This window comes from Homo sapiens, chromosome 7 (assembly GCF_000001405.40).
Source record: "Homo sapiens chromosome 7, GRCh38.p14 Primary Assembly".
Classification (NCBI taxonomy): Eukaryota; Metazoa; Chordata; class Mammalia; order Primates; family Hominidae; genus Homo; species Homo sapiens.
In genome coordinates, this window is record NC_000007.14 from 29,057,400 (window position 1) to 29,072,693 (window position 15,294).

Consider the following 15,294-nt stretch of genomic DNA (forward strand, 5'->3'; position numbering starts at 1 on the left):
CATTATCGGATGTGTCTTTTGCAAATATTTTCTCCCACTCTGTGGCTTATCTTCTCATTTACTTGACATTGTTTTTGGTAAAGTAGAAGTTATTAATTTTAATGATGTCCAGCTTCTCAATTATTTCTTTCATGGATTGTTCCTTTAGCATTGTATCTGAAACATCAACACCATACCCAAGGTCATTTAGATTTTCTCCTAAGTTAATGCCTACAAGTGTTATAGTTTTATGTTTTACCTTTAGGTCTACAATCCATTCAGAGAACATTTTTGTGAGGGGTGTAAGATCTGTGTCTATTTCATTATTTTGTTTTGTATGTGGATATATCCATTTGTTCCTGCACCATTTGTTGTAAAGACTATCTTTGCTACATTGTATAACCTTTGCTCCTTTATCAAAGATCGGTTGACTATATTTATGTGGGTATATTTCTGGGCTCTCTATTCTAGTCCATCAACCTATTTGCCTATTCTTTTGCCAATGCCATACTTAATTATTACAATAAATAATATCTTAATTATTGTAGCTTTATGGTAAGTCTTGAAGTTGGGTAATGTCAATCTTCTGACTTTATTCCTCTTGTTCAATGTTGTGTTGGTTATTCTGTGTCTTTTGCCTCTCCTTAGAAACTTTAGAACAATTTATCCTTATCTACAAAATGTTACTGAGATTTTGATTGGGATTGTATTGAATCTATGGATCAAGTTGGGAAGAACTGACATCTTGACAATATTGAGTCTTCATATCCATGTACACAAAATATTTCTCCAACTATTAGTTGTTCTTGATGTCTTTTATCAGAGTTTTGCAGTTTTCCTAATATAGATCTTATACATATTTTGTTGTATTTATATCTAAGTATTTCATTTTTGAAGGGTGCTAATGTAAATAGTCCTGTGTTTTAATTTCAAATTTCACTTGTTTATTGGGAGTACATAGGAAAGTGATTAACTTTTCTATATTAACCTTATATCCTGCAACCTTGTTATGATTAATCACTTATTAATTCCAAGAGGCTTTTTTGTTGATTCTTCTGGATTTTCTACATAAATAATTATGTCATCTTCATTTAATCATTATCCAATGCTCTTCTTCTCTTTATATAGATGTGAGTTTCTGACCTATATCACTTATCTTCTCTTTGAAAACTTACTTTAACATTTCTTACAAAGCAGGTCTACTAGCAACAAATTCCCTCAATTTTTGTTTGTCTGAGAAAGTCTTTATTTCTCTTTCACTTTTGAGGAATACTTTTGCAAGGTGCAGAATTCTAAGTTGGTGGGTTTTATTCTCTCAACACTTTAAATATTTCACTCCATGCTCTTCTTGTTGGCATGATTTCTGAGGAGAACCTAGATGTAATTCTTACCTTTGCTTCTCTATAGGTAAGGTTTTTCTCCCCTTTGGCTTCTTTTGAGACTTTTTTTCTTTATCTTTGATTTTTTTGAAGCTTCCATATGACTTGCCTCCTTTTCTTGATTATTTTGTTTTGGCATTTATCTGACTCCATGTTTTCTGAGCTTCTGGAATCTGTGCTTTGATGTTTTACATTAATCTGGGAAAGTTTGCAATCATTATTGCTTTAAATATTGCTTCCATTTCCTTCTCTTTCTTCTTGTTCTGGTATTCCCTTTATGTGTATGTTACATCTTTTGTAGTTGTCCCACAGTTAAGGCTATTCAAAAAAAATTTTTTTAAGTCTTTGTTCTCTTTACTTTTCAGTTTTGGAAGCTTTTATTTATTACATCCTCATGCTACTCTTAGCTCAGCTGTGTCCAGTCTACTAGTGAGCCCACCAAAGACATTCTTTATCTCTGTTACAGTGTTTTTGATCTCTAACAGTTCCTTTTGATTCTTATAATCTCCATATCTCTATTTTCAATATCCATCTGTTCTTGCAGGTTGTCTACTTTTTCCATTAAAATCCTTAGCATATTAATCATAGATTTTTTGGCAAGTATTATCTTGATTCCTAAGCCAGGCAAAGATATCATAAGAAAAAAGAAAACTGCAAGGCTGTAACTCTGACATTCATGCAAAAATTATCGATAAAATATTAGCAATCCAAATTCAACAATACACCAAAAAGATTCTACAGCATGATCAAGTGGGATTTACCCTTAGCATGCAAGACTGGTTTAACATAGGTACGTTAATCAAAGTGACACATCACAGACTGAAAGACAAAACCACATGATCATCTCAATTGACACAAAAAGTATTCAACAAAATCCAACATCCTTTCTTGATAAAAACACTCAACAGTCTGGGTATACAAGAAAAGTCCCTCAACATAATAAAGGTCATTTACAAGTGACCTTTGGCTGAGTCCTCTCCCCACCCATGGTGTTTTAAACTCTCAGACTTGTCCCTATGGAGCCTCTAGTAATTTACCAATTACTGTTCAGGTTTCCCTTCCTCACCATTTGTTTCCATGGAGGGTTCTACTTACAGGTTTGCTCCTGTTAAGTTTTGACTCCCTATATTCATCTCTCTCTCTAATTTTGGAGGGCAGCAATTTGCCCTGTGACCTCAGTTTCAACAAATCTAAAAAGAGTTCTTGATTATATTTCAGTTTGTTTGGCTTTTTACTGTTGTTACAATGGAGTGGAGACTTCTAAGCTTCTTACACACTGGAATGGAAACTGGAAGCCTGTCCATTCTTTTTTATTTTTGTGTTTTCCAGGGTTTCTTGTATAACTTTTGAATGTAGCAAGATCTTAAAGACTTTCACAAAATTTGTTGAACATTTTTGGTAATAGCTTATATATATATAAATAAGCACCTTCTAACCATCAGGCACTCTTCTAAGTGTGTTTACATATATAATCTCATTTAAACCTCACAGAAACTCACACATAAATACTGTTTTTATTCCTGTTTTATAGACAAGGAAGCCAAAGCGCAGAGAGTTTAAGTTTCCTCTCCCAAAGGAGCATAGCCAGTGACTGGTGTAACCAGAGCTCAAACTCAAGATATGCAACTTAAGAACATGTTCATAACCACCATACTCTATTAACCAGCTAACTCCTAAAAGTCCTGATCATGTTTTGACTTCATTCAGTCATAAAGAATTCAAATAGCCCAACAGATTGTTTCTCTTTCTAGTTATTTTTGAAACTGCCAATATGATATTTCAATTTACCACCCAAACATCTGAAATTACTGAAAGGAAAATGACTTTTGAGTATGCATCTCCTGTATATCACTGTAAGAAAAGGATTATGTTTTCACGTAGCTTACATAGAAACTAACGTAGTTTACAGAGAAGCTAATTTTTATACAGAAACTACATGAAAACGTAATTCCAGAAACCCAGGAAGGTCTTCCTTCAACCATCAGAGATGCTCCACATTGGCCAAAATGAACCCAGTACTGGAAAAAGACCTCTAGTTCCTATGAATAGAAACAGGCATGCTATTTTCTATGACAAATTAGTACCGAGTCTTACATAAATATGACTTTAATGGTACTAACGTTTTAAGCCAACCTAGGTTGTTCTGATTCCCGTTCTGAACACTGAGGTTCAACATCATTAACAGACAAGCCAAAGATAATCACTATCCCAAGCGCTTTGCCAGCTGCGTGAGTGAACATGCTGTCTGTTTTAGCAGCAGCCACTTTTTGGTGGCATATTTTGTTCTGTTTCTTTATGGAAATATGGTTTATCTATACCACTAAACTCTTTTCTTTTTCTGGCAACCGATTCAGAGTTGAAAAGTTTATGCCAGACACGGTGGCTCACACCTGTAATCCCAGCACTTTGGGAGGCCGAGGCGGGTGGATCACCTGAGGTCAGGAGTTTGAAATCAGCCTGGGCAACATGGTGAAACCCTGTCTCTACTAAAAATACGGAAAAAAAATTAGCCAGGCATGGTGGCATGTGCCTGTAATCTCAGCTACTCAGGAGGCTGAGGCAGGAGAATCACTTGAACCCGGGATGTGGAGGTTGCAGTGAGCCGAGATCGTGCCACTGCATTCCAGCCTGAGCAACAGAGTGAAACTCTGTCTCAAAAAAGAAAAGAAAAGTTTAGAAAATACTGGATTTTGATTTTATTGGAATTCATAGTGGTAAGTTTAGGATACATGGGCAAGAGGGACAGAGAAGTTTAAATATCAAAATGCAGGATCACCTCTAATCAATATATTCTCCTTTATCAGTCAAAACATAAGGAGAGTTTATGTCATCAGGTAAGCTGTTTGTCCCACCTTACCCTCACATGGCTGAGAAAGGAATCATATTCTAGTTAAATTTGTACAGTGAGGCCAGGTGCGGTGGTTCATGCCTGCAATCCTAGCACTTTGGGAGGCCGAGGTGGGCGGATCACCTGAGGTCAGAAGTTTGAGACCAATCTGACCAACACGGAGAAAACTCATCTCTATTAAAAATACAAAATTAGCTGGGCATGGTGGCACATGCCTATAATCCCAGCTACTTGAGAGGCTGAGGCAGGAGAATTGCTTGAACCCAGGAGGTGGAGGTTGCAGTGAGCCAGTCGCACCATTGCACTACAGCTGGGCAACAAGAGCAAAACTCTATCTCAAAAAAAAAAAAAAAAAGTGTGTACAGTGAGAAAATATATCTCCCAAGGGCACAAATAACACATATCAAACTTATCTGCTCTCCTCTCAAAAAAATTCACTCGTTCCATTCCTTAACATCACATTACAGAACATCATCTTTAAGACATGAACGCTAACCTCTTTTTGGTTTAATAAATTTGTGGATAATAAGCACCTAATGGATTATGGACAGGTTTATAGATATATTTTTGATACAGCACTAATCATTCATTCATTCCTGACATCTGCTCCAGGCTGGTGGTGGTATGGGTGTCAGACTGAGAGTCTGCACGTTAGAGTGTGCCATGTACACCTATGGGGGTAAAGACAACGCGTTCTGAGAGCTCAGAGGAGAGGACAAACAGCAGTGCCTTCTGGAGGTCCTCTGAGAAGTCTTGAAGCAGCAAGCACTAAGGGCCACTACATGTCCCCAAGAAAACCAAACACAAGGATGGCTGAAATGCTGGCCTGACCTAGTTAGACTCTTTCTTTCCAAGAAAGTAAGTATTTCATCAAGTTTTGCAGGTTTATAATGGGTTTGTAGACTTGGCATATAATTGGTCTTAAACTATTTTCAACAATGGTTACGTGTCCAACACTGTACTAGAAGCAGGACCCAGAAATGGGCCTCCTAGGTCTGGCATATTCTAAACCACAGTCTAGTTAGGGTGCATTGGCCAGGGACTGCCTGGATAGTATTGCAGATTGTGCACTGAACAATCCTAAGACACACCATTCCTAATATACACATTGTAGAAATGAATATTCAGCATGCCAGCAAATGGCAGTAAAGAGTCTGGTTTTAACTAAGGCAGTATATCAGGACAATTTCTGAAAGATCGAAATAAAGTATCTTGAGGAGAGGATGCCTTTATTCTAATTCATACAAAAATCCTATGGGCTGCCGACTGCCCTGTTTTTTGTTCATTCAAAACAGGATATAGGGAGGAAGTGGATCACTCAGTGGTGGTCTCCCCAGTCATCAGTACAGGCATCCTTCGGAGTTGCCCTAGAGACGATCCCTTGGGCAAAGGCTAACAGCACTGGAGGACCAGAGGAGGAGCTGAGAGCGTAGTACCAGGAAAGAAATAATACACAGGCTGACTTTCCCCATGTCATTTGCTCTTGGTGTCCTCCTTCCCAGTGGGAGTTCCAGGGCCCATGTCTTCTTTGCCTGAACCTCCAGGGCTCCTTTTCTGTGACCTCACTCTCCACTGGCACCTCCACTGGCAGCAAAGGCAGAGCATTTCAACCAGACAGCACAATGGCTTGACTTGACCTACTTCCAAACAGGGACCCTTTCTCATTCATCATTTCAACCTCACACCCTAAGGAGAGACTCAAAACACTGTGATTGGGTAAAGTGAATGAATACAACCATTAGGCAAAATGCATTTTCAGAATAACCAGTTGATTTCATTTATCCCTGACGTCATTGGGATTCATGTAACAAAGCAACACATAAGAGAAATCTGGCTCTTACACACGGCCAGTCATCTTTTTGGCTCTGCAACTCTTCCTTTCTCAAGAAAGGATGAGAAGTGGTGTGTGCCAAAGGGAATTTCATTTTAAGGAATAATCAGGGGAAAGTGGTTAAATTATTTTATTTTATTTTTATTTTTTTGAGACAGAGTTTTTGCTCTGTTGCCCAGGCTGGAGTGCAATGTTGCGATCTTGGCTCACTGCAACCTCTGCCTCCCGGGTTCAAGTGATTCTCACGCCTCAACCTCCCAAGTAGCTGGGATTACAGGCACCCGCCACCATGTCCAGCTAGTTTTTGTATTTTTTAGTAGAGAGAAGGTTTCACCATGTTGGCCAGGCTGGTCTCAAAATCTTGACCTCAGGTGATCCACCCGCCTCAGGCTCCCAAAGCACTGGGATTACAGGTATAAGTCACCACAACGGCAAAAGTGGTTAAATTAAAAGGAACAATATAAAACTTTGAATTGGAATCAAACAAAGAAAGGGGCTGTTATTTATGCTAATGACACATCATAAAAGTTAAAAAAAAAAAAAAGGCAGGACTCAAATTACAAATCACTTCTGCTCTGGGTAATCTGAAAGTTCCTAAAATAGTAACTGAAGTAGCTCTCTTACCTTATAATTATTCATGATTTCAGTTAACCATGGCTTAACTGACTGTACTGTATCTTCTCGCAAGTACTTTTCAACTATAGTTCCATCATTAAAAGTCTGATTCCCCACGTGGATGGCTTGTCTCACCTCTGGGAGTGACAAAAATTTCACATAGTAAAGCTGATCCTCAGGTTCCTGGCAGAAGGGGCATTGGAAAGACATAGGGAACATGATTGGTGGCAGGAACAGTATGTTGGGAAAAGCTGTGAATTTCTCATAACATACAACATGGAGAAACGTGACGGGACTATTAACTTGTCGCCATTCTTGAAATTTTAACTCGGAGGTTTTGAGATAATTTAGGTGGAATCTTTTTACTAATTAGAAATCTGAAATACCCTTAAAATACTCTTAAAATACCCAATTTGCAAATACAGGATTTTCCTTTGCAGAAACTAATCTTTTGCAATCTGTGACTCCCATTAGCAACCCCACTAGAGGCAAAGAGAGAGAAAACAAAAGAGATGAGATTATCAAAATCAATTCACTCCTTGTTGGTGGCTCTTTGGAAAGAAGGTCAAATGGATCACAAGGGCCAGGTTGGTGGTGTGCTGGATTTAAAGCTAAGAATTTCTTTTCTGTGTTCTGCTGTTTATTAAAACCACACACATGTATACATGTGCCATGTTGGTGTGCTGCACTTATTAACTCGTCATTTAGCATCAGGTATATCTCCTAATGCTATCCCTCCCCCCTACCCCCACCCCACAACAGTCCCCGGTGTGTGATGTTCCCCATCCTGTGTCCATGTGTATACATATGTAACAAACCTGCACGTTGTGCACATGTACCCTAAAACTTAAAGTATAATAATAATAAAATTAAAAAATAAAAAAAACCGCACACACACACAAAATTGGATTGACTATAATAAAGGGGAAAATATGTCAAATGTGAAAAGAGATGATACTTTATGAAGGACACAAGACAGAAGAAAAGTTGTCCATGAAGCTTATTAAAAAAAAAACTGCAATAAAGTCTCTGTAATAATCATTATACTGAAAGAAAGGAGTAAATGCTTTAAAAAAAAAACAGTTACACAAGGATTAAAAAAACTGTTAAAGTTTGAGTTTGACAACTTTGTGCTTCATCAACAATTTTTACTAACTGTGAATATATTGTTGTAAAGAAAAAAAGGTATCATCACAAATTTTGTTTCTGTCTTGTCTACCACATGTTTTTCTCTTAGTAGAATCTAAATCCAAAACTGCAGCATTGGCGAATTCCACTGAAACTAACGTTATACTTTATTTACAAACTAGTTCATAAATCAGGCAATTTTAAAAACAGAATGCATTGTCATAAGCATTAGACAAAGATTATACAAATTCAAACACCTACTTTGGCTCCTTCTGTTTGACTAATTCTACACAAAAGATATCAACTTTGGCCTACTTTTATGAAACAAACTACTTGAATACTTTGAGAAATATTCCAGAAGGCTTGAAGTGAGGGCCATACTAAATGCATTAAACATCTTAAAAGTAAGACAAAGCAAATATTTTCATTAAGGCTTTGGCAGTTTTGATTATCCAAGCGTCTTAAGTACAGAACAAAGAATGTGGGCATTTTCAAGAGACTCGTAAACAGACTTGAAGCTCTGGGACCTGAGACCCAGAACTCCAATCCCAGCCTGTGTCCTTCACAAAAGTGCCTCTATAACAAGCTCTACTTGGGGGAAATCATGTTCATCAGAAGTTGTTTTGAGTTATCTGAAATATCACACATTCTCAGTGGTCAGATTATAACGTATACAACACTGATGAGGAAAAGATTCTATGGGTTAGTAGACCACATCACGCGGTACAGTTTGGACATGTTGGTCTAGTATAAAGTCATCTATAATATTTCCCAAATCAAAGGAAGTTCGGTTTTGCCAAAAGTTTTAAGCAAACATTATTATGGTTTTTAAAATGTCATTACCGTGCACCGCAAAAAGTTATAGTAATTACTACATCCTGTAACATTCTGGAAGTAAGAAGGATCACTTGTTAAGTCGCCATCTAGTAGTTTATCCAGTATCTAGGTTGGGAGAGAGGGAGAAAGAAAGAAAGAAAGAAAACATCAGTGTGGATAAAAATGTACAGACATTTGTCATTTCATTTATTCAACAACTTTTTCATTCCTTTATTGTTTCATCCAGCGCCCACTTATTGTGCATATTCTCTGTGCTAGACACTGTCATGGCACTGGAGAAATGGCCATCAACAAAACAGACCAATGGTCCTCCCCCATGGAGCTTTTATTCTGGTGGGGGACAACAAGCATTTCTAAGTAAATTATATCATATGGTAGACAGTGATAAACTCTTGAGTATGTTAGGGAATGACAAGGAGAAAACTAAAGAGGAGTAGGAAGTGTCATGTGTGTGCATGTGTGTATGGGACAATGTAGAGAGGAGGTCACAGAGGACCTCACTTAGAAGGTGGCATTTGAGTAAAGACATATTGGATGAGAGGAATAGAGCCATGCAGACATCTAGGGGAAGGAAGGTTCCAGGCAGAGGACACAGTAAGCTCAAAGGCCTTGCCTATGGGAGTAAGCCTTGTGGGAAGGGTGCCTTAACATGGATCATGAACTGCTCACCAGATGACATGGAGAGAAGACGCAGGATATGGTGCAGATGCAGGTTCCTGGAGCTGGTGGAAGTTATCTTTGGGCTGACATTAAAAAACCCAGTCACCAGCTGAGCGGGAGAGCAGTCAGCATGGTTGCATGCTTTCCTCCAGCCATTGTCAGCTGTGTGGAGACAAGCACAGCCTGACAGAGAGGCAGATTGAGCCAGGGCTGTGGTTCAGCCAAAGGAGTTGGAAGAAATGCAAAAGAGCTTTGGGCTTGGAAATGTATGGAATGACTGACCCTGGGTTGAAGACAGGTAATTAGAGAAATGGAGACTTGAGGGGGTTAGAGATAGTGGAGAGGCAGGAGGATCAATGGATTGAAAGGTAGTGAGGTTGCAGGGCTGTAAGATCAGTACATTAGCAGAAGAGATTCGGACAGGAGGTGGTAGTTGGAGAAAGATGTTTGAATGTGTGATTGTGGATCAGCTGCCAGCATTTTAGGGTATGAGAATCAGCAGCTAAGATGAGGAGGAGAACAAGATCATTGAAAAAGAGGAGGCTGAGGCACCAAGGACCAGGTCCCAAAAGGATCGTCAATGTGGATCCTGCAGTTACCAGGAATTATGACAAGAATAATGCTGCAGAGAGTGACAGGGAGGAAGGAGCTCAGCTATTCAAATGAGAGGGAGTAACCAGGGGTTGGTAGGCAGACACAGTTGGAAGTGGTCAGAGGCCCTGTCTGAGGACAGGAGAGTCAAAGCTCAATGCTTTAGGAGGAGGCAGGGAACATGATCTGAAAGTCACATGATGAGCAAGGAAGACACCTACTCCACCTATGAACCAAGTGATACAGACAAGCTAAGAGAGAGAACAGCCCCCACTCAAGAGGACCACAGGGACTGCAGCATCAGGGGAGAGCCAGGTTTCTGGCAAAGCAAGAAGATGAAGAGAAGAAAATAGTCACAGAAGAGGTTGAAGACATGGAGGGGGGTTGTTGATGATGATATTAAGTTGTAAGGAGTTCTTACAAAAGAATTCAAAGAAATGAAGTCAGCACATGTTAAAAACAATCTATCAAGTACAAATTTAGGTCTCTTATCAGATAAGGTATTATTATTCTAATTTTATGGGTGAGAAAACTGAGACACATGAGTTTAAGCAACTTGCCGAGGACACCTCACTAATAATGTCAGAGATGAGATGATTAGGCCACGACTCCTGAGCCTGCACACTCAACCACGCACACACTGGCTCCCAGCAGTCAGCCTGCAATGCTTCCTACTTGCCAATTCCTTCTGGCCATGCTTCAATGCTTGAGAAAATAGACTAATTATTATATTCATATTCTTTTTTTTTTTTTTTGAGATGGAGTCTCGCACTGTCACTCAGGCTGGAGTGCAGTGGTGAGATCTCAGCTCACTGCAACTTCTGCCTCCCGGATTCAAGCAATTCTCCTGCCTCAGCCTCCCGAGTACCTGAGATTAAAGGCGCCTGCCACCACGCCCAGCTAATTTTTTTTTGTGTGTGTGTATTTTTAATAGAGACGGGGTTTCACCATGTTGATCAGGCTGGTCTCGAACTCCTGACCTTGTGATCTGCCCACCTCGGCCTCCTAAAGTGCTGGGATTACAGGTGTAAGCCACCGCCCCCGGCCTGTATTCATATTCTTTTTCAAACATGAAAGAACTTATTCAAGTTCCTATTGCCATGGGGCTAGAGGCCAAGAATGAAAAGGGTTATCACCATAGAAGGCGGTGTGGGTGGAGGTGGTAGTAAGTATTCTCTACCAATGCTACCATTGCTCAGGGCCCCACATCTGGTTGTGCAGCTCCATGCGATGCCTGTGGCTAAGGGGTGCAAAGGGACAGGGAACCAGCCAAAGTTCTGCTCGCTGAGCTGGAGAGCCTGGCTCAGGGCTGCATCTGGAGAAGTGGCCACCTCTTATCCTCACACAATGGAGGCATCTGCCTGCCCCGTCCTGAACCCACAGGACTGCATCACCACAGAGGAGGTGTCTTTTTCTTTTTTTTTTTCTTTGTTTTTTTTTTTTTTGAGATGGAGTCTCGCTCTGTCACCCAGGCTGGAGTGCAGTGGCGCGATCTTGGCTCACTGCAAGCTCCGCCTCCTGGGTTCACGCCATTCTCCTGCCTCAGCCTCCCGAGTAGCTGGGACTACAGGCGCCCGCCACTACGCCCGGCTAACTTTTTTGTATTTTTAGTAGAGACGGGGTTTCACCGTGGTCTCGATCTCCTGACCTCGTGATCCGCCCGCCTCGGCCTCCCAAAGTGCTGGGATTACAGGCGTGAGCCACTGCGCCCGGCCGAGGTGTCTTTTTCTAATTTGTTCACCCAGATGGGGCACCATAGGCCAGGGTCATTCTGAATGCACACATCATTTTTGGAACTCATTGTTAGAAATTATCTTCAACACCAGTGGGAATATAAAGTCAACCTTGAAGAATAACTTTGCTTTTAGAAAGAGTTAAAAGTCATTTGTTGGCCAGGCATGGTGGCTCACAGCTGTAATCCCAGCACTTTGGAAGGCCGAGGCGGGCGGATCACTTGAGGTCCGGAGTTTGAGACCAGCCCAGCCAACACGGTGAAAACCCGTCTCTACTAAAAATAAGAAAAATTAGCCATTCGTGGTGGCGAGTGCCTGTAATCCCAGCTACTCGGGAGGCTGAGGCAGGAGAATGGCTTGAACCTGGGAGGTGGAGGTTGCAGTGAGCTGAGATCTTGCCACTGCACTCCAGCCTGGGCAAGAGAGCGAGACTCCGTCTCAAAAAAAAAAAAAAAAAAAAGAAAAAGTCAGTTGTTGTCAAAAAATAACATGGGTGGTCAAGACCTGTGAAACTAAGAACTTTGTGATTCAGAAAATCATCATGGAAAGGGAGGTAATACTGGACAGAGGATCAGTCATTTCACATCTTGCAGAATATCTAAGACGATCCAGGATTTTTACAGAATGCCTGAAAATTACCATAGGATAAATACTGTGGTGGAAATGGGGGAAGCAATTCCAGTCCTCAGCCTGCCACAATCTATTTGTGTATCCTTCGGCAATTCATTGCTATCCCCTGGGGCTCGGCATCCTCTCCACTCACCAGTAAATGTGTGTGTGTGTGTGTGTGTGTGTGTGTGTGTGTGTGTGTGTGTGTGTGTGTGTGTGCATGTAAATGCATAGGGACAGTAGATGACCTATCTCCAGAGTACTCTCCAGCTCTGAGTTACTACTCTTTGATTAATTAAATCATTTTAAAGGATCAGAGCGTCAAACAGGCTTTATCATTTTAGGCTTGAGATTCTGACATTTATATTCCCCTGGGTTTCAGGATTTGTTGGAGTCTTCCTTTGCAGTCACTGAAACACATTTCAACCACAAGTTGTTTACTGTCCTAAGTATCATTTTATCTATTTTCCTTGAAAAAGCAAAGGTCTTGTTTTAATTCATCACTCAAGATACGGGACCAATGGTCAAAAAGACATTCCAAGCCTTCAAACGTTTTACCTGCTTGGGGTTCCGGTTTCTGACGTATCCGGTTTGGGAGAGATTCTCACCTCGTGGGTCATGTTCTCATTATCTCTGAATACACAACACACCTGAACTTTTCTACAGCTTCACTAATCCTGTAGGTGTTTAGCCTGCTGCATTATGTACCAGTCATCTTTCTGCTTTTTTTCTAAATATGGGCCTCTCAAATGCTCTTGCTCTTGACAATTGCTTTATCCTGTGTGCTTCTTTAAAAACATATCAAATGTTTCAATTGCAAATTGGTCTCATGCCACATAAAATTTGGTATTAATTCTAAATACTGAAGTTTCACTCCTTCGTCCCCTCTGTGACTACCACAGCAGAAAGCCTTGAAAATACTGTCATTGCAAGTGGAAGCATGATCCTACATGTGCCCCAGGAGACCCCTCTTCCTTTGTGTTTACAATTGCATAAGAAATTCTGAATCCACACTTTGCAGCCACATTTAGTGTCCTGACACAGAGAAAGGAGAGCCTGGTGGAGCTCTGTAGGATGGCTCAGGACTCCCTTTGCTCCATCCATTTGCACAGCTAGCTGCTATCAGAATTCACGGCAAGGGCGGTCACTGCCTTGGGGGATTTCTGATAGTGTCCCAACACCCTACTTGTAAAATGAAAAATAACTTTGTATTATCCTCTACCCTTTTCTCCAAGGTTGCATGTCTCCTATTTTGATCTGAACTGGCTGATCTGCAATGCCCTTAAGACTTAATATCAGATTTCTGCTTTAATAACAATAACGACATTAGATATACTGTTACAGAATATGTGTCTAATAACAAACAAATTAAAGCCCTCGAAATTCAGACCTTGCCTCATTTACTACCATGTCAAACATGATGGCTGTATAGTAAATACGGCAAAAAGCCCCTCAGGGAGATTGTTTACACATGGCTCTGTCTGCATTGGCAAAAAAAGCAAAAAAAAACAAAAAAAACCCAACTTCCTGTATCCTAATATTTAGTATATTCTTACATTTTAAATAACTGAGAAAGAAAAGAGTGAAGAACGTAATTATTGATTCTCAAGTTTAATTTTAGGGGAGCAATGAAAGGATATGCACAAATACCAATGGCCCTTTGTAAGAGTTTCAAATTACTACACTTTATAATCTTTGTTCCTGACACGTGTGTCACATGTCATCTGTTACACACTGTGGTCATTTCTCCCAGCTGAAACCCTGTTTGTGGATATAAAACTCTTCTACATGGTTTAGAGCAGATGGTGAAGCATATGCCTCTACTTCCTGGGTTGCCTTTCTTCTGATTTCCATATGATAGAGTCTGCCTTGAGGGCCTCCACAGCATTTAAAGAAATCAAAACGGTTAATGAAAGACACAGTTAGATAAACACTCCAAGATGATCTCAGGCTTAAAATATAGCCAAAGTAAATTCAAAGGAACACAGACAGTCCTTTTCTTCATTATGAGGCCACTCAACTCGCCTCCCGATCTCCAATGGAATAACAGATATACCTTCTTAACAAAAAAATGCCTGAGCACCAAGGTGTTCCTGCTCACCCGCCCTCCCTCCCCAGATGGTTTTAATTGCTCAAGGGCAGCACAGGGCCCCCAGAACTCACTTCAAAGGCCTCAAACCAGTTCTGCTTCCTGATGTGTTCTATGCATTCATGGCACTGCTTCTGGAAGTACTTTTTTTGCTTCTCATCCAACAAGCCAATTTGGTACAGGAATTCTGCATAGCCCCCTATAATCTGAGGACAAAAAAGACACACATCAATGTGACAAAGGGAGAGAAAGAGACCTTAAGGAAGCCCATTTGCTTGGTGAAATAATCCTTTGTAATTGTTAATATTGTGCTGGTTAGCCAAGTAGGATAATTACATGCACACACACATATACACCCCACAACACACACAACAGAACACAACACAATACAAACACACACACATTTGCACTGACAGCCAATGTAAGCTGACACAGTAAATTGATACGTTGAAACATTTGGTAAAAATTAGGAGATTTAAGTCATAAAGTCAACTGGTGTTTCCCTTATCAAAAGTTAGACCTCTAAGAGGAGCCTTCCATCTGATAAAAAGGCATTTAATCCCCCTAAGAGACAAAATAGAAAGTCAGAAGGAGAAACCTACTGATTCGGGATCAGAATATCCATCTCCAATAGCAATTCCGTTCAGGTTGATCTTCACCTCTCTCACAGGGTTGAGGGAATGGATGAGGTGTGCAATGGCTGGCACATATTTCCCTGCATAAGACTGAGAAGGACAGATGTTGAAATGGCCAATCACAAATGGATGCTAGTAAAATTAAATGTACTTAAGCTAATTAAAATAACAATGAAGGAGCAATCTTTCCACATGAGGTATACCATCTGTTTCTTAACCCCACATTATAGATTCCATAATAGCAAAAACCTCTGTCTTCCAATTCTTTTGTCGTCTCAAATAGCACCACATGACATGAACAGGTTCGATGCACAAAAAATCACAAGTGAACATGTAATAAGTGAACATTCTAATTTCCTT

At 40.3% G+C, this 15,294-nt stretch overlaps 1 protein-coding gene across 21 annotated transcripts in view; it reads right to left on the reverse strand.

Moving 5' to 3' along the window:
- Nucleotides 1–15,294, reverse strand: part of CPVL (carboxypeptidase vitellogenic like) — a 200,816-nt gene that overhangs the window by 62,764 nt on the left and 122,758 nt on the right. For 17 of the 21 annotated variants that reach the window (NM_001371258.1, NM_001371256.1, NM_001371266.1 and 14 more), the window contains 4 exons: nucleotides 14,902–15,024; nucleotides 14,374–14,505; nucleotides 8,624–8,722; nucleotides 6,662–6,835 (listed from right to left, as the gene is read on the reverse strand). In NM_001371258.1, coding sequence (NP_001358187.1) covers nucleotides 6,662–6,835; nucleotides 8,624–8,722; nucleotides 14,374–14,505; nucleotides 14,902–15,024 — 528 coding nt within the window. Of the gene's footprint in view, nucleotides 1–6,661; nucleotides 6,836–8,623; nucleotides 8,723–14,373; nucleotides 14,506–14,901; nucleotides 15,067–15,294 lie in introns of all 21 variants that reach the window. The other 4 variants (XM_017012366.2, XM_047420531.1, NM_001371264.1 and 1 more) reach the window with 3 other exon arrangements.